Here is a 21,477-nt window from a genome sequence, read left to right as displayed (position 1 = left end):
CAATGTGGGTAGTAAGTTGAAGATATCAAATCTAATAGAAGGATTAGGAAGCATGCTGTAAGAAATAGAAACTGCATGGAAAACCAAAATATTAGTGGCAATCAATCAAAGACAGATTGAGTCAAAATTTTCATAATAAATCTTGAACATCCTGTTGAAATGTAATTTTATGATGCAATAAAATTTTAAGAGAGAAGCAAAATTACAGGCTTTAATAAAATGACATTATTTCAGAGAGAAAATTTGCCAATACATGGGAAGTACCTTCATCTGGATGAAACCAACATGTGCTTTTTCCCACTAATGTTACTTTGGATTTCTTTTGTATTGACATGTTAGCTGAATCAGTGTTATTGGTCCAGCTGGCAATTGTTGATAAAGTAAAACAAAATTAATAATGGTCGTTAAAGATTTTGTTAAAAATTTAAGAAAGTGCCCTCGTCACTGGAATCTAAGCCTCTGTAAATAATTTCTATGATATCTAGAGCAATAAGCTTTTGTTAACTAAAAGACAGTGCTGTCTAAAAGTACAAAAAAGTGAAATCAGAAGGTATGGGTGTCAACTCTGATTCCTACTTGCAAGATTTGTGAACTAAAGCAGATACCTTAATCCCATCTTTTTGAGCACCCATTTTTATCATTTTCAATGGAAATGACAATACCTACATATTTATAAAGATTTCAAATAACTCTGTGAAGCTACCTGTAAAATTTTAAGCAAATAAAATATCTGTACACATATGCATACATATAATGGTTTTCTGAAATGTAGAATTGAAATGCAGAGTATTATTTAACTGATGTGGTTTGTATTAAGCAGAGCATTTTAATCAACAGCATCTACTTTATTATATACACTCAATTGTAATCACACAGGACTGGGAAAAATTCTTTCCTTATGACATGAAATTGGTATATGCTATATACCCATATTCAAGGCATCTTTTACTGGACAAAGAACAAAAACCAAACAAAAACACTTTATATAATTTTCTTCTAATAAAAGTAATATGTAGTTTCTGATTTCTTGGATCACATTCTTAGTTAAGTTCCTGCCTCCTTATTGGCTAGTTCTTTGCTTTGGAACTACATGGAATAAAGGTTAGGTCATAAATATAGTCTGTATCCATGGCAACATGCATTTCTCTTTCAACATTTTGCAGGTAGTTATTTTCCTGCTAGAACTTACTTAGGTGTGCTGGGGGATAAATGGATATTTATTTACTAGAATAAATCTAGTAATCTCAGTACTGCAGGGGGTGGCAAAGGGAGGAGAATAGAAGCTGGATAGCTAAGGTAAGCATTAATAGGGACCATTAAATTATTAGGAGAGTCAGATGATGGGTCAGAAACTCAAGTAAGTCAGCTTGAGGTTAATGAAGTCAGATCAAGAGGTCAAGGAATGAACTTCAAGAGTCCAGGTAGTTAAAGCAAGAGATAAAAGAACATAATTACCGAAAGTCAAGAATGTAATCACAAAACAATTTGAGAAACTGGTGGTAACCTCAGTTTAGTGACAAGTGTAAGGTAAGAAATCCAGATCAGAGATGGAGGGTAACAAAAAGGTTTAGTCAGGCAGGTGAGCCCGATGGGACCATGACCAGAGTTCCTAGCTGCCAGCCCATCTTGGAGGCAAGATTCATTTTGGCTTGAGTGTGGGTATGTCCTTCCTTCCCAGGGAATGATCCAATGAGTGGGAGGGAGAGTGCAAGCTGGTGCCTGAAGTTGCATGGGACAGAGAGGATGAAAGGAGTTTCTGGACCTTTTAGGTTAACAAAAAGGAAAACAATCTCGTAAATTATGTACCTCATCTACTATCAGGTGACCTTGTTCTGTACTCTCGGTAAGTACAACATGCAACTAGTAGGCTACCAGTCGTTTTAACAGGCATTGGAAACCCATTGAATATGGACTAGTAGAAGTTACATGGACAAAGCTTTTTAATTGCGGAATGTTTTTAGAAGAGCTGTGAGCTAAATTGGGTAGAAGATTTTGTTATCAAAAATGTCAAGTTCAAAATACATTTGATGTTTATTAGTTTTCAGTGAAAAAATTAATTCACAAAGCTATTTTAAAATGTTAAGCTAATGAAACCACATTTACTTTTTTAGTTGTTCATCTCTAAACTTGCTTACTGCATTTCTCTGTGGGTCTTGAAAATCTATTGGTGTCCATGGTTTTGATCTAGGTAGTTTTTGTTCCTTGGTTTATTTTAAACACTGTTATAATTAGGATCATTGTGTCTGTAGCTAAATGGTTGAATATCTAAGATGAATAAGTTTTCTTAAATTTCATAACTGTCTAGTTTTACCAGATGCAAGAATATAATGACAAGAATTTAACATTATATTTAGTAAGATGAATTCTTAAAACTGGTAGTCTAAATCCCTCTGTAAATTAACTTAAAACCTTTATTTTTATATTATTGTTCTCATGTATGTATGTAATAATCATGTATTATGATTCTAATGTCTATTGGCCAGTTTTTATTATAGAGCTATTTATACCTTTTGAATATACACTTGAATTTATTTAAGAATAGCCTTTTTATGTTAAATCTTATAAAAGCCTCAGCTAAAAGAAACCCAAAAATGTTAATATAATTAAAAGGTAATTTTAAATGTTGAAAAGGGATAAATAACTTAAAATTAACAATTATGTATTTTATATTTTTAACCAGAGGCAAATAATATTACCATGAATTTAGTTAGTGCATTTTTTCTAGTTATTTACTTTGGCTTTGCCCACACAATTTATTTTTATATCAGGTGAATTCATTTTATGAATAGAGAAAAAAAGCAGCAAATAAGAAGGTGATGTACAAAAGTACAAATTATTATAGTAAATTGATTGTTGCATAGTCCCATGGGGTTGCTTCGTTGATGTAAAAGTCATCCAAGATGCTTTGACAGGTGCAGGGATTAAGAGCAAGGTAACTCCACTCTCTACTGACACTATAAACATAATGCAAGGTCATCTGACACTGAAGATATCTTGGGGAGGCCCACCTGGTCAGTAAAGTTGTCCTTTGAGGTCAAGTTGTCTAGCGAGGATACTATGTTGCTGTCCTGGAGATATTCAACACCAATGCATTAATGGCATTAGAGTGATTTCCTCTCTCTGCATGTATTTATTTATTTAATTTAATTAATTAATTTATTTATTGAGACGGAGTCTCGCTCTGTCACCCAGGCTGGAGTGCAGTGGTGCGATCTTGGCTCACTGTAATCTCCGCCTCCCAGATTCATGCCATTCTCCTGCCTCAGCCTCCCGAGTAGCTGGGACTATAGGCGCCTGCCACCATGCCTGGCTAATTTTTTGTATTTTTAGTAGAGATGGGGTTTCACCATGTTAGCCAGGATGGTCTTGATCTCCTGACCTCGTGATCTGCCTGCCTTGACCTCCCAAAGTGCTGGGCGTGAGCCACAGCACAGTGCCCGGCCTGCATGTATTTAAAGTAGTAGTTGCACAGAGTGAACACAGTGCACCAAAACGTGCACATGATGGGAGGGAAATGCCGTTAGAAGTCATGATAAGAAGTCATCATCACCATGATGATTCTGACCGAGGCAGCCACTGGAATCCACTTCACAGGGGGCAGCACTCTCCTTTCTTTCATCTCATTGTTAAAAATTCAACTGTTTGTGTCCCAGTGTTGTAGAATTTCTTATATTTAAGCAACCAAAACTTTAGAATACTTTAGTAATGTCCTACCATTGTTAGCACAGTAATTAGTGTGTTCTGAATGACACTCATAAAATGTGGGTGGGTGGTTGCAACCTTAGTGTGTATCGTGTTTGGGTTGAGCAGCTAATACAGAACTGGCAAAAAACCTAGGTCAAAACTCTGCTTCCCTGGAAAGGGGAAGTACAGTAAGTGGAGAGGGTGTTGAAAACCTTCTCTCCAATTACTTGAATGACATTCTTTATAAAAGTAGTTTTCTAGTGAAGAAGAATTCAGCCTGAATTTTATTCTTCTTCGAAGGCCAAATAGGTTACCTGTCACTCCTGGAAACTCTGTCAAGAAAATAACTTTAGGTGTTTCTAGATGCTGCAAATAACATCTTCCTGACACGTAGTCCTTCTGTTTGTGAGCCCTGATGTTGCACCAGAGTGAGTTATGGATAATGCACCTGTATTGGCTTTTTAATACTGATTTTCTGCATTTTTCAGGATAAGGTTATTAAAAGTGCAATTTGAAGGTATTTTTGTTTCAGTGTCATTCAGTCAGTCTCAACTGGAATGTTTCTACTTTTATAATTCTATTTGAGTCTAGAAAAAATATATAGTACTTCTATTACCTTTAAAATCATTTAATTTATATAATAAATGCTTCTACATAGCTATTTTACGTGTAGTAGATATTTCATTTGCAATTTTCCAAAATAGATCAATGTGCTATGAAACTTCTTTTTCCTTTTTTAGTTTTAACTTAACCTAGGAGCAGATTGTTATGGAGTTTTTAACTCACTTTCTTTAAGATCTATTTTTAATTAGATGATGTGGCTAGTTCTTTTAAAATAAAACTAGAAATTTCAACATCAGTTATGAATCTTTACCGGTATCATTACTCACAAAAAAACAAATGTAGCCATAATGCTTTCCAGTTCATGTGAACTCATAACATGTTTTAATTCTCCTTTTGAAGTTTTCTCCCCTTTCAGATAAGCACATACACTGATTGCTTTTTTTTCTTTGTATTTTCTCTTTCTTTCTTTTCTTTCTTTCTTTCTTTCTTTCTTTCTTTCTTTCTTTCTTTCTTTCTTTCTTTCTTTCTTTCTTTCTTATTCTCTACCTAGAGTACTGTCCTCTTTTGCAGGCAAGATAATTTTTTTTTCTTGACATTAGACCTTTGTAGTGTGCTCCAAACCTGGGTATTAATTGTTCTAAAGTTTTTAACCAAATTAAAGTTTATCGGCCTGGCGTGGTGGCTCACGCCTGTAATCCCAGCACTTTGGGAGACCTAGGCGGGTGGATCACGAGGTCAGGAGATCGAGACCATCCTGGCTAACACGGTGAAACCCTGTCTCTACTAAAAATACAAAAAAATTTAGCCGAATGTGGTGGCGGGCGCCTGCCTGTAGTCCCAGCTACTTGGGAGGCTGAGGCAGGAGAATGGGGTGAACCCAGGAGGCGTAGCTTGCAGTGAGCAGAGATCACACCACTGCACTCCAGCCTGGGCAACAGAGTGAGACTCTGTCTGAAAAAAAAAAAAAAAAAAGAAAGTTTATCTTGCCTTTCCTATATGTTAAGTTCTGTCCTCTCCTTCATCTTGTAGTTTACTAGTGTCATTGTGAACAAAGGTGCCACACTTTAGTCTTGTGTATAGAATTCCTTCCACAGCTAACCTATTCTTTGGAGTTTGGGTGAATTTAAGCCTCTTCTTCATCTTTACAAGTTGCAGAGGAAATATTTTCACCGAACCACAAGATGGGCTAATGATTTCATTTCCAATTACTAGGTCTAATAATAATAGTAGAACAAGAGTTGAAAAACACACATGCACTTCCGATAATACCAAATATGCCTTATTGGCTCTCAGAACAATTTTTGAATCATTTTAAAGGTAATCTGCTGGCTGTATTTCTAAATAGCTCTTGGTCATTTAAGGGATCTTAAAAATATTTTCCACTTGATAAAGCACAGACAATATTAGTGAAGAAAGTTCTATTTGCAGGTTAGAATGCAGCAGGTTAAAAATAGAAAATGTGCTGACCTAGGCATCTGAAGGGCTGGTTTCTTGCCCGGACTTTTATGTGACTTTACCTGCATCCCTTAATGTGTCTCTTTTCTACTGTTACCAGCTACCTGTCTATGCAATAACTTATGAGAACACGTGTTCAAATTTGAGCCCTATAAAAATACTATAAGAAATGTAAACTTTAATTCAGAAACGTACAGCAAAATGTTGCCTCACCTGTAAAATAACTATATAACTTGTGACTTAATTTGAAATCAATCATTTCCAAAAAATGTTAAAACGCATATTGTATAATTGTATAGTAAAATATGCTTTTAATTTTCACTGTTTAGATGAATTTCAGTTTTTAAATGCTAATGAACATATATATAGTTGTATGCATTATATAAATTCAGTCTCCATGAAATAAATTGACAGGTTGAACCTATCCAAAATATTCTTTTTTACTGATACAACAGTATTTTCCTAATATATTCTGTTTTTTAATGTGTATGCTGTCCTTTGAAATCTGCATATTCAATTTCAAAACATCAATTCTATATATTTGATAAATCTCAAAATGCATATTTCTTTCAATGTATTTTTTTTTTTTTTAATTTTGAGACAGAGTCTCACTTTGTTGCCCAGGCTGGAGTACAGTGGCATGATCTCAGCTTGCTGCAACCTTTATCTCCTGGGCTCAAGCGTTTCTCCTGCCTCAGCCTCTCGAGTACCTGGAATTACAGGTGTCCAGCACCATGCCCAGTTAATTTTTGTATTTTTGGTAGAGATGGGGTTTCACCTTGTTGGCCAGGCTGGTCTTGAACTCCTGACCTCAATTGATCCGTCTTCTTCGCCCTCTGGGAAGTGCTGGGATTATAGGTGTGAGCCACTGCACCTGGTCATCAATGTATTTCTTTTATTAAAAAGTAAAATGAGATATTTTATTTTGGTGGAGGAAAAGTTTTAGACAAATAAAAATCTGAAGTTTTGCCTCATTCATAACTTTGACATAACGAACAAGAACCAAATATAACAGAAAGAATATCTCTTCTTTATATTTTAATTTAAAAAATTTATTAATACATATAATATAAACTCATAATAAATATATACTTCGATTTTATGTTATAAATAACAGAAATATGTATTCTCAAACCTAGTCATCAGGGTTTTTTTTCCCCTTCAACATTATTTGAAAAAATAGCCATGGGTGACTTCATTCCCCCTTTACTTCATAAGTTGGCCGCTGCAGACACTAAAAGTTATCTCTCAGTATTTCCAACTTGACAGCAGTCTCAGTGAAATTTTAGGGACATATAACTAAGAACAAATTTGGGGTGATTTATATAAAAACATTAAAATGGGAAATACATAGTAATAAATAAAGCTAAGTTATTAAATAATAAACTCCTTATTATTTAGAATCTAAAGAAAAAGAGGTAAGGAGAATTTAAATGTATAGGCTCCATTAAAGTAAATAGCTAAAAACAAGAATTTTTTTTTCAAAATTACTTAACAGGATATTCATCTGGCTTCTGTAGATTAACCCCAATCTCTTAAACTTTATACATTTATGTGACTTTACATTGATAATTGGTCTTTGTAATAATGACTTTGAATTACTGTATGGTCCTGGAGTATTTTCAAAATCTTCAAAGTAAGATTAGAGTATTGTTACAGGATCCTTGGGGTGTTGCTTCACCAGCCAGAAACCTCTGTGGCCAGTGGCGTCTTTGCCTGGGTTTTGCTCTGGTCCACTGGGTTTGTTTCACCCACTTGGCCTGGCAGGCTGTGTCAGCTTGCATTACCTGCCTGGATCCCACTCAAAGTGGTGAATAGTATGTGAGCGAGCATGGGGTCCAGCTGCTGTGCACAGGCCGGCATGCCAGCAGCGGTGGGGCGGGCAGCTCCAGGTGTGCTAGCTCCCTGCAAAGTTGCAGCTGGACTGGGCATACCATAAGCAGCTGCCATGGCTGACACAGGGGAATGTGGTGTGGCACCCAGAAGCTTGGAGACATCAGGAACCGCAGAGCTTTAAAGAGGATGTTACAGCCCTGGCTTGGGGAGCTCCTGAGTCTGGGCTCCCTGAAGGGCTGCAGCTCTTCTCCTTCTCTCGTCTCTCCTCTCTCCTTGTCATCTGCAATGTGGTGAGCAAGGGGCATGGGTTTGTTTTTTTGGCAGGTCCCAAGTTCTTGTCCTGTGTCCAGGAAGAATGAGGTATGCAGACAAGTGGAGGGTGAGCAAGATGAAGAGGAGCTTTATTGAGCAATAGAACAGCTCAGAGGAGACCCAGAGTGGGTAGCTCCTCTCCGTAGCCAGGGTGTCTAGACAGGTGTTCAGCTCTTAGCAGAGAGGGTAGCTCCTCTCTGCAGGCAGGTTGTCCCAATGAGTGTTCAGCTCTCAGCAGAGAGGGGACCCTGAGGTGGGTAGCTCCTCTTGTCAGCTGGTCATCCTTTGTCTCTTCTGATATGGCTGGGTCCGGGGCTTTTTATGGGCCTCAGAGGGGAGGAAGTGCCTGTGATTGGTCCATGGATGGCTATGGCAGGCCGAGAAAAAGCACCACAGGTTTCCACTGCCATCTGCGGGGACCAGCAGCCCAGCTCCCAGGCTTCAGTCCCTCCCTGGCTTGAAGGTAGGGCTTCACCAGGGACCCACCTCCTGCCAGAAGCCTGTCTGCCTCCTGCTGCCATTCATGTTGCCCAGGCTGTTTGTGCCAAGGGGCGCAGGCCAGTGCCAAGCTGCCCTCAGCCCCGCCTTGGCCTCCCTCCCATGCCCGTTGGTGCCCAAAGTCTGGAGGGGACTGAGGCAGCAGGGGGCTGCTGTGTCCGTGATACCTCGAGGGTGCGCACAACCGGCCAGGCTGCAACAGCACCTGGGCTCGGCCCCAACCTTGCTCCAGGATTGGAGTGGGTGCCGGGAGCAGGGAGAGGCCAGGCAGTGGGAGCAGACATCTCTGACCCTGTTGGGGAAATGGGGGGCCTTCCCAGGCCCCCGAGAGTGCTGAGATGCCTGGGTACGTGGCTGCGTCTGGGTGGCTGCAGTTGCACCCAGGACGGCAGGGCTCCTGCCTGCTTCTAGACCCCTAGAGCACAGGGAGGCCCAGGTCCACAGCCCCGACCTGAGTGACCACAGCTGCACCCAGGAGGGTGAGGCTCCTGCCTGCTCCCAGCTCCCACCGGCTGTGTAGAGCGCAGCACCGCCCTGGGCCCAGCTCCGCCTCAGGGCACCTCTCTGTCCACCCTTCTGTGCCCAACCGTGCTGCTCCGCCACTGTCAGGTGACGCGGCCGGACCCCATCAAAACAGCTCCCAGAGTGGCGGGCTCCAGGGGCCTCCCAGGAGTGGGTTCTGCACACTGCACACCTTCTCTCTGCATTTTCCCTGCAGCAGTGGCAGGTGAGGGGCAGGTGGCCTGGCAACCCCAGCCAACCCTGCCCAAGCAAACCTGATGCTCTTGGGACCGGCTTCAGGAGTCCCCAGCTGCACCTTCAGCCACGTGCTGGTGGGCTCCTGAGACCTATGGGGAGGGAGGTTGAGGCCGTGGCAGAGGCTCCAGGCCTGGAAGTGGGTCCTGCCCAGCTGTGCAAGGGTGTGGGTGGTGCACTAGGTTGCCTTGGGGATCTGGACGGCCCATTGCTGCCATCAGTATTATAGATATATATCTAGCAACTTGCCCTCCTCAATATAGTACGCTTAGTTCTCACTGTATGATACTTACCCTAAGCTAGTTATCTCACTTATATACGAGCCATGCACACCAACTGCAACAGTCCTTCTTGGCTGGGCGCAGTGGCTCACACCTGTAATCCCAGCACTTTGGGAGGCCAAGATGGGCAGATCACTTGAGCTCAGGAGTTCCAGACCATCCTGGGCAACATGGCAAGACCCTGTCTCTACAAATAATACAAAAATTAGACAGTCGTGGTGGCATGCACCTGTGATCTCAGCTACTGGGAAGGCTGAGGTGGGAGGATCGCTTGAGCCTGGGAAGGTGAGGCTGCAGTGAGCCGAGATCATGACACTGCACTCCAGCCTGGGCAACAGAGTGAGACCCTGTCTCAAAAAAAATCCACAAAACACACAAAAAAACAGTCTTTCCTGTATAAAGTAAAATGAAAGGACCAAGTGAATAAAAGGTACATAGATATGTACACACACACACACACACACACACACACACACACACACACACACACACACACACACTTGCTTACCCCTAAAAAGCCCACCCACTGCAGGAGTGGCTATAGTGGCTATAGTAGCACTCTGACCTTTTCTACATGATGTGACCAGTAGAGAAATTAGATGTTCATTTTACATCTTTACTCATCTGGGAGGTTTTTGGTCCTGCGGCATTTACGTCCTTGTAATAATAAAGATGCCGGTGGTGTTGTAGTGCTCTTTCCTTTAGCCAACAGCCATGAGCAGGCACGCCTCAGCCTTTCTAGTCTACGCTCACTCATAATTTACATAAGAAGCACAAGTACATTTGAATTCTGTGACATCGTGCTCTCAGAAGCCTGAATGAAGCAGTTCTGATAATGCCTGACCAAAGGTTAGTCACTTCCATACTGTATCACTAACTAATTGTGTTTGTGACCAGCTGAAGAATGTCGAGGAAGGTGGAAGAATGGCGTCAGGGCTCCAGTTATTAGGGTCCTTGCCCTTTCACTGTGGGAAGAAATTTCCAGTGATGAGGAAGTCAGGAGCTTGGACTGCTTCTCTTGAAATCTAATCCACATCTTGAAAATTCTGCTTCCTTGCTACATCGTGGGTATAAACAAGGCTACAGCTCTTCTGAAAGGGACACTTAGGCACATTAACATAGACAACCCAGCATCTTAAAATATGACTCGAAGAGGTAATGGATAGTTAGGTGGACACATGGAGTGGCAAACTGCCCGAGGATCAAAAATCTGAAAGATCTGAAACCTGTGTCAAATCCAGAGTTCCCAGGAGGCACTCACTTTTTTTTTTTTTTTGAGGAGTCTCACTCTGTCGCCCAGGCTGGAGTGTAGTGGCGCAATCTTGGCTCACTGCAACCTCTGCCTCCCGGGTTCAAGCGATTCTCCTGCCTCAGCCTCCCGAGTAGCTGGGACTACAGGTGCGTGCCCCCTGTCAAGCTAATTTTTGTATTTTTAGTAGAGACGGGGTTTCACCATGTTGGCCAGGTTGGTCTCGATCTCTTCACCTCATGATCTGCTTGCCTTGGCCTCCCAAAGTGCTGGGATTACAGGCGTGAGCCACTGTGCCTGGCCGTGGAGGCACTCATCTTTCTAGGAACACCTCTGCCTCAGACTGTGCTGAATTAAAACCTCCTAATAGTCTGTCTTCTACCATTTTGTTTCTTTTTTTTTTCTTTTTTTTTTTGAGACAGAGTCTTGCTCTGTCACCCAGGCTGGAATGCAGTGGCGCTCACTGCAAGCTCCACCTCCCAGATTCACGCCATTCTCCTGCCTCGGTCTCCCGAGTAGCTGGGACTACAGGCACCCGCCACTGCACCCGGCTAATTTTTTTTTTGTATTTTTAGTAGAGACGGGGTTTCACCGTGGTCTCGATCTCCTGACCTTGTGATCCTCCCACCTTGGCCTCCCAAAGTGCTGGGATTACAGGCGTGAGCCACCGCGCCCGGCCCATTTTGTTTATTTTTAATCATGCCTATGGCCTGAACCCGTCGTGCTCATGACACACCATTCTCCTGCTTCAAAACAGAGCTTATTAGTATTTAATTATTGTATTTAATTTGTTAGAAACAAATTAACCATCTGTCATTATTTCTAGTAGTAACTTTTATCTTTGGAAGGCAAAAGCCATGTTTTCTTTTAAGGTTAAATTCTTTTATGCTTAAGGTCTTATGGGAGTTGTTTATAAAATGAAAGAAAATTCTTTTGCATGTGACATTTACAAAATAATATTAGGAGACTAAAAGACCGTAAATTAAAATAATGTATTTTTTTGAATTTATAAGCTTAAATCCAAGTATGTGTATTGTGTCCAGAATAATGAAAATGGAGGAATAATTTTGATACATTTCATATGATTTAAAATCATAAATTTGGTGGCCTTAATATTAACAATACATAATTAAAATGCCTACTAGAACTACTAATATGTTATTCTGAAGAGAATATATTATTTTTTAATTAACTTTATTAAATACTAAACAAAAGTAAGGAATAATGAAGCCATGTAATATTCAAAAACATAATTAGAATTAAGTGTCTCCTATGAAATATTCACAAAAAAAGCAAAATTGTTGGGCTATGTGCATTTCCATAATAAATAGTAGCACTCTTACAATGTATTAAAAATAATTATTGTCCTAAAATTTAAGAAATTATCTTTTAGAAGCATTCTTCTTGTCAGCTGGGCTTAAAACGTCTGTGTCATCTTTTTAAAATTTTTATCTAGTGTCTGATACATACAAAGAATATGTCATAATTAATATTTAAATACTAATACATACAACAAAATGAACATCATGAACTGACCACTCAAGTTGAGAATTGGAACATATTATTATTATTATTTTTGAGGTGGAGTTTCACTGTGTCACCCAGGCTGGAGTCAGTGGCACGATCTCGGCTCACTGCAAGCTCCGCCTCCTGGGTTCACACCATTCTCCTGCCTCAGCCTCCTGAGTAGCTGGGACTACAGGTGCCCACCACCACGCCCGGCTAATTTTTTGTATTTTTAGTATAGATGGGGTTTCACCGTGTTAGCCAGGATGGTCTTGATCTCCTGACCTCGTGATCCACTCGCCTTGGCCTCCCAAAGTGCTAGGATTACAGGCGTGAGCCACTATGCCCGGCCAAGAATTGGAACACTATTAAAATTGCTGCCTGTACCTGTGTGCTCCTTCCTTTCCCATATTCCTAACCACCCTTCCCCAGAGTTAACCATTATTCATAATTGTGTGTTGATAGTTACCTAATAATGTTTTATGGCTTTATTGTACATATATATATTCTCTGAACAAAATATTATTTTTGTTTGTTTTTGAACTTTGTAAAAATGGTTGCATGTTGTAGGTAATCTGATTTGCATTTTTCATTCAGTATCTTATGTTTAAGATTCACCCATTGTGTTGTGCACAGCTCTGGTTAATTCATTTTGCTGTATATAATATTCCATTGTATCAAGATAAATCAATGACAACTATGACGGACAAGTTGAGTTATGGTACAAATACTGCTGTGTACATTATTGGGCATGTGCCTGGTGTTCACGTGTAAGAGATTCTCAACAGATATAGCTTATGAACGTGTCCAACTTTCCGAGGTAGTGCCAAGTTAACTTACAGTAGGGTTTTATCACGTTACACCCAAATCAATAATGTGTAAGAGTACCCATTGATACACATTCTTGCCAGCATTTGGTATTGTCAGACTTCTTGAGTTTTGCAAATATGGTGATTGTAAAATGATATCAAAATAGCCTTAATTTGCATTTGTGATGACTAATGAAGTTGGGCACCTTTTCATGTTTACCATTAAAATGTTGCCTTTTATGATGTGCCTAGTCATGTATTGTTTTTACTTATTTTCTGTTGGGTTATTTATCTTTTACTTGTTGATATACTTTAGGCATTCTGGATAATATTCTTTTGTAAGTTACATATGTTGCAGATGTTCCCTTCCAGTTTGTGATTTAGTTTTTCATTCTCTTTCTTGTGTCTTTTGATGAACAAATGTTCTTAACTGTATTGCAATCTAATTCATCAATCTTTTCAAGTTAGTGCCCTTTAAGTCATGCCTTTCCTTACTTTGAAGTCATAAAGCCATCTCCCATATTTTTAAAAGTTTGGTCTCACATTTGGTTTCTCATCCACTAAGAACTGATTTAAAAAGAAACAGTCTTATTGAGATATAATTGCCATTCCATACAATTCACCTATTTACACTGTACCATTCAGTGGTTTTCAGTATCTTCAGGGTTGCAAAACCATCTTCACCATTAACTGTGTCACCTCTCTCCAAAAACTCAGACCCATTAATGGTCACTCTTCATTTCCACTCAACACTCCCAGACCTAGACAATCCACTAATCTAATCTATCTCTATAGATGTGCTTGTTTCAGATATTTCATGTAAAATATTGGAATCACACAATATGTTGTGACTGGCTTCCTTCACTCAGCGTGTTTTCAAGGTTCATTCCTACTGTAGCATGTATTAGGTCTGCATTTCTCTTTATTGCTGAATAATATTCCACTGTGTGGATATACTGTATTTCATTTGCGTGTTCATCAATTGATGGACATTTTGGTGGTTTCTCCTTTGGGGCTGTTATGAAAATTGCTGCTATGAACATTCATGTTACAAGTTTTTGTGTTAACATAAGTTATATTTCTCTTGGATATAGACCTAAAAATGGAAATAACTTATTTTTGTCCATTGTGTAAGATAGGGGCTTGCTTTTATTTTTCCCAATATGAATAACTTCTTGTGTCAGCGTAATTTTTAGAATACATTGGCTTGTCACATCCCCACTAAACTGTAATGCCAGCTCTGTCCAGTGTGAGCCTGTTTCTAGGTTCTCAATTCTGTTTCATTGGTCAATTTTTTTCTGTTCTCTATGATAAGACTATACTGTGTTGATTATGATAACATTATGTTAGACCCAAATTTCTTGTAGGGAATATCACACCGCCTGTTCTTTTTGGGGATGTCATGGTACTATGTTTGTCCCTGTACATTTTAGATCCACCTTGTCGAAAGCTCTTCTTGAAGTTTTAATTGGACTTACACTCTAGATTAATCTGCAGAGAACTGATGAAGAGACTTTCATCACCCTGATATATCTCTTAGTTATTTAGATCTTCCTTTTATGTCTTTCAAAAAGCCTTATATTTTTTTCCTTAGGGTTTTGCACATCTTTTGATAGGCTTATTTCTAAGATTCTTTGTTTGTTGTCATAGCTGTAAATGTTTATAATTTTTTTGCTGATGTATAAAAACTGCAGTTGCTTTTTGAACATTGATCATTTATTCAGACATCACGCTAAGCTCTTATTTCTAATAATTTGTACATTCATTTTCATTTTTTATATATACCGTCATGGCATCTATGATTAAAGATAGGTTTTTGTTTTTTTTTTTTTTTTGAGATGGAGTCTCACACTGTCTCCTGGGCTGCAGTGCCGTGGCGCAATCTTGGCTCACTGCAACCTCTGCCTCCTGGGTTAAAGAGATTCTCCTGCCTCAGCCTTCCAAGTAGCTGGAGGCGCCCGCCACCACACCCAGCTAATTTTTTTTTTTTTTTTTTTGTATTTTTAGTAGAGACAGGGTTTCGCTATGTTGACCAGGCTAGTCTCAAACTCCTGTCCTTGTGATCTGCCCGCCTTGGCCTCCCAAAGTGCCGGGATTACAGGCATGAGCCACCGCACCTGGCCCAGTTTTTTTTTTTTATGTTCTTGTCATACACTTGTGAATACAAGTGATGATAGTAGACCTTCTTTTCTTCTTCCTAGTTTAAAAGGGATATTTTAAAACTTCACAATAAAGAATAAATGAAATTTGATGAGTCTTTTGTCAAATACCTTTTATCTGGTTAAAGTGATCTTTTCTATTTCTCTTTTGCTAAGAATTTTTGTTGTTTAATTTTATCAGATGTTTTTCTGTGTATTCAGATAATCATAATGTTTTTTCTTTTCTTTTCTTTTCTTTTTTTTTTTTTTTTGAGATGGAGTCTCACCCTGTCACCCAGGCTGGAGTGCAATGGCGCGATCTCAGCTCACTACAACCTCCGCCTCCTGGGTTCAAACGATTCTCTTGCCTCAGCCTCCCAAGTAGCTGAGATTACAGGCACCTGCCACCCCGCCCAGCTACTTTTTGTATTTTCAGTAGAGACGGGTTTTGCCATGTTGCCAGGCTGGTTTTGAACTCCTGACTTCGTGATCTGCCCGCCTCGGCCTCTCAAAGTGCTAAGACTACAGGCATAAGCCACCGCACCTGGCCAATGTTTTTTCTTTTAATGCATTGATGGAGTAAACTATATTATAGGTTATTTTCAGACGTTACATCAACCTTAGATTACATTCAGTTTTTTCCATAAGATAAAATTAAGGTAAAATTAAAAGCACTTTGAATTGATCTCTGGAATTAGACCTAAGAATTGATCTTCTGGAATTAGACCTAAGACACTTTTGACACTTTTTACATTGGTACTATTTTGGGTGGGGATGAGGTGGTTATTGATGACAGTCCGGGTGAGTGGAAGATAGTTTACTGTATCTACTTTTGTGGCTTATAAATTCTTATCAATGTCAACGTATTTCCTAATCAAAAATAAGTTCATAACATTTAAATTAAAATACTTAGAAATAATTGATAATGAAAATAGTACTTCTCAAATCTTGAAGGATGAAGCTAAAATGAGAGAAATGGGTACACTTAACCTGCCATTTATTTTTAAACGGTTAATTGTTAATGAAGTAGGCAACCAGCTTAAGAAGTTAGAAAAATGAAGCAATTTCTGGTAGGACTGATCAAAGAACAAAGTGCAAATAAACAATATTGGGAATAAAAATAAAGCTATGGTAATGTTATCAATAAAAGAGAGATATTAATAACATTAAATTTTAAAAAGGATATATTCCAGATCATCAGAGATTAAAAAAATAAGATATTAAAAAAGCATTATGCCAATAATTGGAGAACCCAGGTGAAATGGACAAATTTCCAGGAATACATAAAATGCCGCAAGACAAAACAGGAAACTAAATAATCTAATATAATTAAGCAAATTTTAAAAACAGTTAAAAATCTTTCAACAAAGAAAACACTGAGTTCATATAATTTTACAGGTGAGTTCTATAAAAATCTCCCATGGGACAGGTCACTGTAGTCTTTTACAAACTTTTCCAGAGAAGCGAGAAAGAGAAAAATACTCTCAAACCAATTTAAAAGATTGTAATATTGATAGAAAAGATGACTGGTACAAGAAGAGAAATAAAAATTCCAGGCCAACTCACTCATGAACACACACATACAAATCTGGAATTATTAGCAAATCAAGTCCAATAATGTATAAAAATAACGTATGTAATCACCAAGTTGTAGAGAATGCAAGGACATAGAAATTTATAAATGCCAACAAATGTCAAATTTAGGGGAAGAGGAAAAATTCCTAAACTATAAAAATTTACCAAAACTGACTCTGTAAAAGACCGGAAAATGTGAATCATCCTATAACCATCAGAAAAATTGAAATAGTAGTCAAAATGTTTTCCAGATATACAATATCAAGCCCAGATGGCCCTACTGGCCAGTTCCACTAAATATTTAAGAAACAAATAACTCATCTTATACTGATTCTTTCAGAGGATGAAAAAGGTAGCATCATTCAGCAACTGAATTTATGAGACTAGCATAACATCAATTTAAAAATATGCCAAGGAGAGTCCAAAAAAAAAAATCCCTCAGGTCAGTCTCTCAAAAATCATTAGCAAATTATTAGCAAACTGAATCCAGTAATATTATCTTATGGAAAAAATTGAATGTAACCTAAGGTTGATGTAACGTTTGAAAATAACCTATAATATAATTTACTCCATTAATGCATTGAAATAATAAACATTGACCAGGTGTGGTGGCTTACACCTGTAGTCCTAGCACTTTGGGAGGCTGAGGTGGGCGGATCACGAGGTCAGGAGTTCGGTTAGCAAGCCATCAGTATCAAGACAAGACTCTCCACCAGCAAAAAGATTAGGACTTAAGAATGGCTTAGATGATCATTAACCCTTCTTAGCAATAATGTATTTTAAATGAAGGAATGCACATTGTTTTTTAGACATAATGCTCACTGAATAAACTGCAAGCTTGTCCAACCCACCTTATTTTGTTGTTGTTGTTCTGTTTTGTTTTGCTTTAGGCTTTTAGCAGCCAGAAGCCATGGTTTTAAAGTTTCTGTCTTTAGTGATAAGCAGAAAAGAGGGATGAGGAAGGGGCTTTACTGGCCCAACCAGAAACAGAAACCAAGAACCCATGACTGTATTCTCTCCCTCAGACACTCCTGAATAGTCTATAACTTTTATATGCACTGGGAAACCAACCAATTTATGTGACTCACTTTATGGAGATATTTGCTTCATCGCAGTATTCACTTCATTGCAATATTTGCTTTATTGAGGTGGTCGGGAACCAAACACACAATATCTCTGTGATATGCCTGTACTGGAAGGGTGAAATACTAGGGAGCCACTAAATATGACAAATATGCTAATAAATGGGAATTAAATTAAAATTGGGTGTGTGAAAATATAGAACAGTATCTACACAGTGATGACAATGTGCATAACAATACTTTGATTTACATTGACAGAGATTGAAACTCGATTTGGGATGGTCTCACTGCTTTTGGAAAACTAACATTTTTGCTCATTTTTTAAAGATTTTCCTAGTGGGCACAATGTATAATATTTGGTTGGTAGTTACACTAAAAGCCCAGATTTTACCACTATGCAATATATCCAAGTAACAAAACTGTACTTATGCTCCCAAATCTATAAAAATGTATGTATTTTTTAATTTTCAAAAAAAGACATTATGGACTTATGGCTTTTGGATGTTAACTTTGTACTAACCATAGTGAAAATTAGGGGATAGAAACGCACAATAACAAATTAATAAAGTACAATAAATATGTACTCTTCCTTAAGAGAAATTCTTAATACTTTGAGATGATACAGTATGTGATAAAAAGCAGACTTTCAAATCAGCTTGAGCTTGGATAAAATCTTTCCAATTCTATTTTTCTCAGACTCTATTATTTAGATGTTGTCACTTCCTCTGTCCTCCACAAATATTAGCTTTTCTTTTACATTTTCTGTATTATTATCTTTCTCTGCTGCCTCCCAGGGAGTTCTTCAATCTTACCATCCTTCCAATGCGCAATTCTATTCTTTGGCTTTAGCTAACTTGCTCTTTTTCCTATCATTTTCACTTTTTCCTTCTTCTATGACATTAATTGCAGCTTCATGTCTGTAACTTCTTCCATTACACTTTTCAGTATATTAAGTATATATATATTACTATTTGTATGTTTATTATGGACTTTTTTTGGAGATAAGATCTCCTTCTGTCACACAGGCCGGAGTACAGGGTATGACCACGGTTCACTGCAGCCTCCTGGGCTCAATTGATCTTCTTTCCTCAGCCTCCTGAGTAGCTGGGACTACAGGCACACCCCACCACACCTGACTCATTTCTGTATTATCTGTAGAGAAGGAGCCTCACTATATTGCCAAGGCTGGTCTTGAACTCCTAGGCTCAAGTGATCCACCTGCCTTGGCCTCTCAAAGTGCTGTGATTACAGGCATAAGCCAACACACCCGGCCTATTACGCACTTAAAAAATTCTTGTTTCATCTGTTCCAATTATACTGCTTCAGATAATATATGTTATTTAGGTGTCTCTTTTTGGTAGTAGTTTTGCTCCTCAGGTTTATTTACTTTGGCCAGGGAGCCCATTTTCCCCTGGGACTATCAGATATCCTGACTGGGGAAGAGCAGAAGCCCACCTTTAGTCCCTGACCTGTTGGATGAGCTTATAGAAGGACAAGATTATGAACCCCAAGACAGAGCCCTTCATTGCCGTACCACTCCCTTTCACAGTTACTTCATCAGGAAAACCTGCTGGTCGGGAATTTACCTAAGCTCCTGGAAGTGAGTGTCTAATGACTGAGTCACTAGTCCTGGGAGTTTGGAGGGAAGCCTTTGGAAGGGGGAATACCCAGGAAGTTCAGAGAAGTCTGTGCCTGTTTTCTTCAACTCCTCACCCAAGGAGGGCTTTGCTTTCCTTGGTATTGACTGACTGATGTCAACACTATGTTGAGTTCTTGCTCCCAACATGGTAATGGAACAGATATGATTTTACCTGGCTACAAAAGAGAGAGACAAGAGCAGAAGGTAAAGCATTCCTGCAACCCACCTTCTTACAGCGGTTTTCTATTATTTTCTTCCCCAGGCTGTACCCCCTTAGGACTGTCTTTATTCCACCCAGGAGCTTCTCAAAATTTGCTTTTGTTATGTTTATTATTGTTATAGTTATTAGTATCTCAGATTCATGCTTCCTGTGCTTTCTCCAGGATTGATTTTGGGGAAGGGAGCCAGCAACCCATCCTTGTCTGCCATGTTGATATCCCTGAGCTTTTTTTTAAAAAAAGAATGTTCTGCCTCCCAAACACATAACTGTTGTCACTGCTAAAGTCTATCTGTTTTTAGAAGATGTATCCTCTATTTCAGAATCTGATTGCATTGACTATCTCTTCTCTTGGGTTCAAAAGAATCATTATAAAACAAAGAACAAAAGGTAAAAGACTGTTTTCACGGACAATTGATCCACAGCTGATTATTGATACACAGATATCAATCTATGAAATAGAGAAACAAATAGATGTTAAAACAGTGCATAGATTTCCTGAAGAAAAAATAACTAATTTTTCCACTACAGGTTTACAAGGATCAGCCTTTTATATAAAGTCCTCTCACATATTCCTTTGGGACTAGTTCAAGTAAGCTTTTCTTAGAAAGGCAGGATAAAAATGGGACATCCTATCACCTCCAGCCTCGAAGGCTCAGATTTATTACTATAAAGCATTTTCTTTCCTCTAACACAAATGTTACTGTTCTAGATGTCTTTTCCAGTCTAGTGTAGAGAGGCCACAGGGTTAATAGTTGAGCTAATGTATACTGAACACAATCCAAAATAAGATGCCTGGTGCAAAGTAAACACTCAAAATTATAGCAATTATTATTTATCATGTAGAAATCACAAAATTGTTAAAATTAAAAATTGGATGAATATAATATTTATATTGAAAATGAAATAATTCTTGTAGATATTTTGACCAAAGCAACTTCTCATCATTTAGCTTTGTATTCTTATTCCCAGCATCATAATGTGACATTTGGATTCCTGTCACTTTTTTATTTTTCTGGTTTCCAGTCAAGGAAATGTTGGTTTAGGCTGTGCTTGTTGAACATACATTAGGCATGAAATGAAACATTTATCATTGTGTTTTGGGAAATGTTGCATTGCTGGCTAATGTGTTAGTGGCAGTAAGTAAGTGACAGAAGATTTCAACTATGTAACAAGCTTGATATGATAGGCATGTATAGGATATAGCACTGAAAACTGTAGAAAATACAGCATAGACATTTCTTAGCAATCATACATGAAGCTTTTAAAAAATTGGCTACATAACTTGCCATCAAACATTCTCAAAATTTGCAAAGAATTAATGGGAGATAGACTACATTCTTTGGCCACAGTGCAATTAGAAGTGAATGACAAAACAATAACCACTGAAGTCCATTTCCTGAGTTTAATGGTGTCCCTCTCAAAATTTCCTGTCTACACAGAACCGGAAATAGAATTTTTTTTTTTTTTTTAGATGGAGTCTCGCTCTGTTGCCCAGGCGGGAGTGCAGTGGCGCAATTTCAGCTCACTGCAACCTCCACCTCCCAGGTTCAAGCAGTTCTCTGCCTCCGCCTTCCGAGCAGCTGGGATTACAGGTGCCCACCACCATGCCCAGCTAATTTTTGCATTTTCAGTAGAGACGGGGTTTCACCATCTTGGCCAGGCTGGTCTTGAACTCCTGACCTTGTGATCCACCCGCCTCGGCCTCCCAAAGTGCTGGGATTACAGACATGAGTCACTGCGCCTGGCCGGAAATAGAATTTTTGCAGATGTAATCAAGTTAAAATTAGGTGATGCTGGATTAAGGTGGGCCCTAAATCCAGTATGACCAGTGTCCTTATAAAATACAGCACCACAGAGACACAGACACCCAGAG

At 38.8% G+C, this 21,477-nt stretch overlaps 1 protein-coding gene across 21 annotated transcripts in view, besides 1 other annotated feature; it reads left to right on the top strand.

The window, feature by feature from the left end:
• Nucleotides 1–21,477, top strand: part of CEP112 (centrosomal protein 112) — a 556,597-nt gene that overhangs the window by 317,334 nt on the left and 217,786 nt on the right. The gene's annotated exons all lie outside the window — the stretch shown is intronic.
• Nucleotides 18,743–19,942: an enhancer, noted in NCBI's record as "CDK7 strongly-dependent group 2 enhancer chr17:63850976-63852175 (GRCh37/hg19 assembly coordinates)". NCBI's record gives its function as "activates an origin of replication core promoter dependent on BRD2, BRD4, P300/CBP, MED14 and CDK7 cofactors, with strong dependence on CDK7, by STARR-seq in HCT116 cells {active_cell/tissue: HCT116}" and the evidence as "EXISTENCE:reporter gene assay evidence [ECO:0000049][PMID:35650434]".

Source organism: Homo sapiens, chromosome 17, assembly GCF_000001405.40.
Source record: "Homo sapiens chromosome 17, GRCh38.p14 Primary Assembly".
Lineage (NCBI taxonomy): Eukaryota > Metazoa > Chordata > Mammalia > Primates > Hominidae > Homo > Homo sapiens.
Note: the sequence above shows the minus strand (reverse complement) of the source record. Positions and strands in the feature narration are given on the sequence as shown.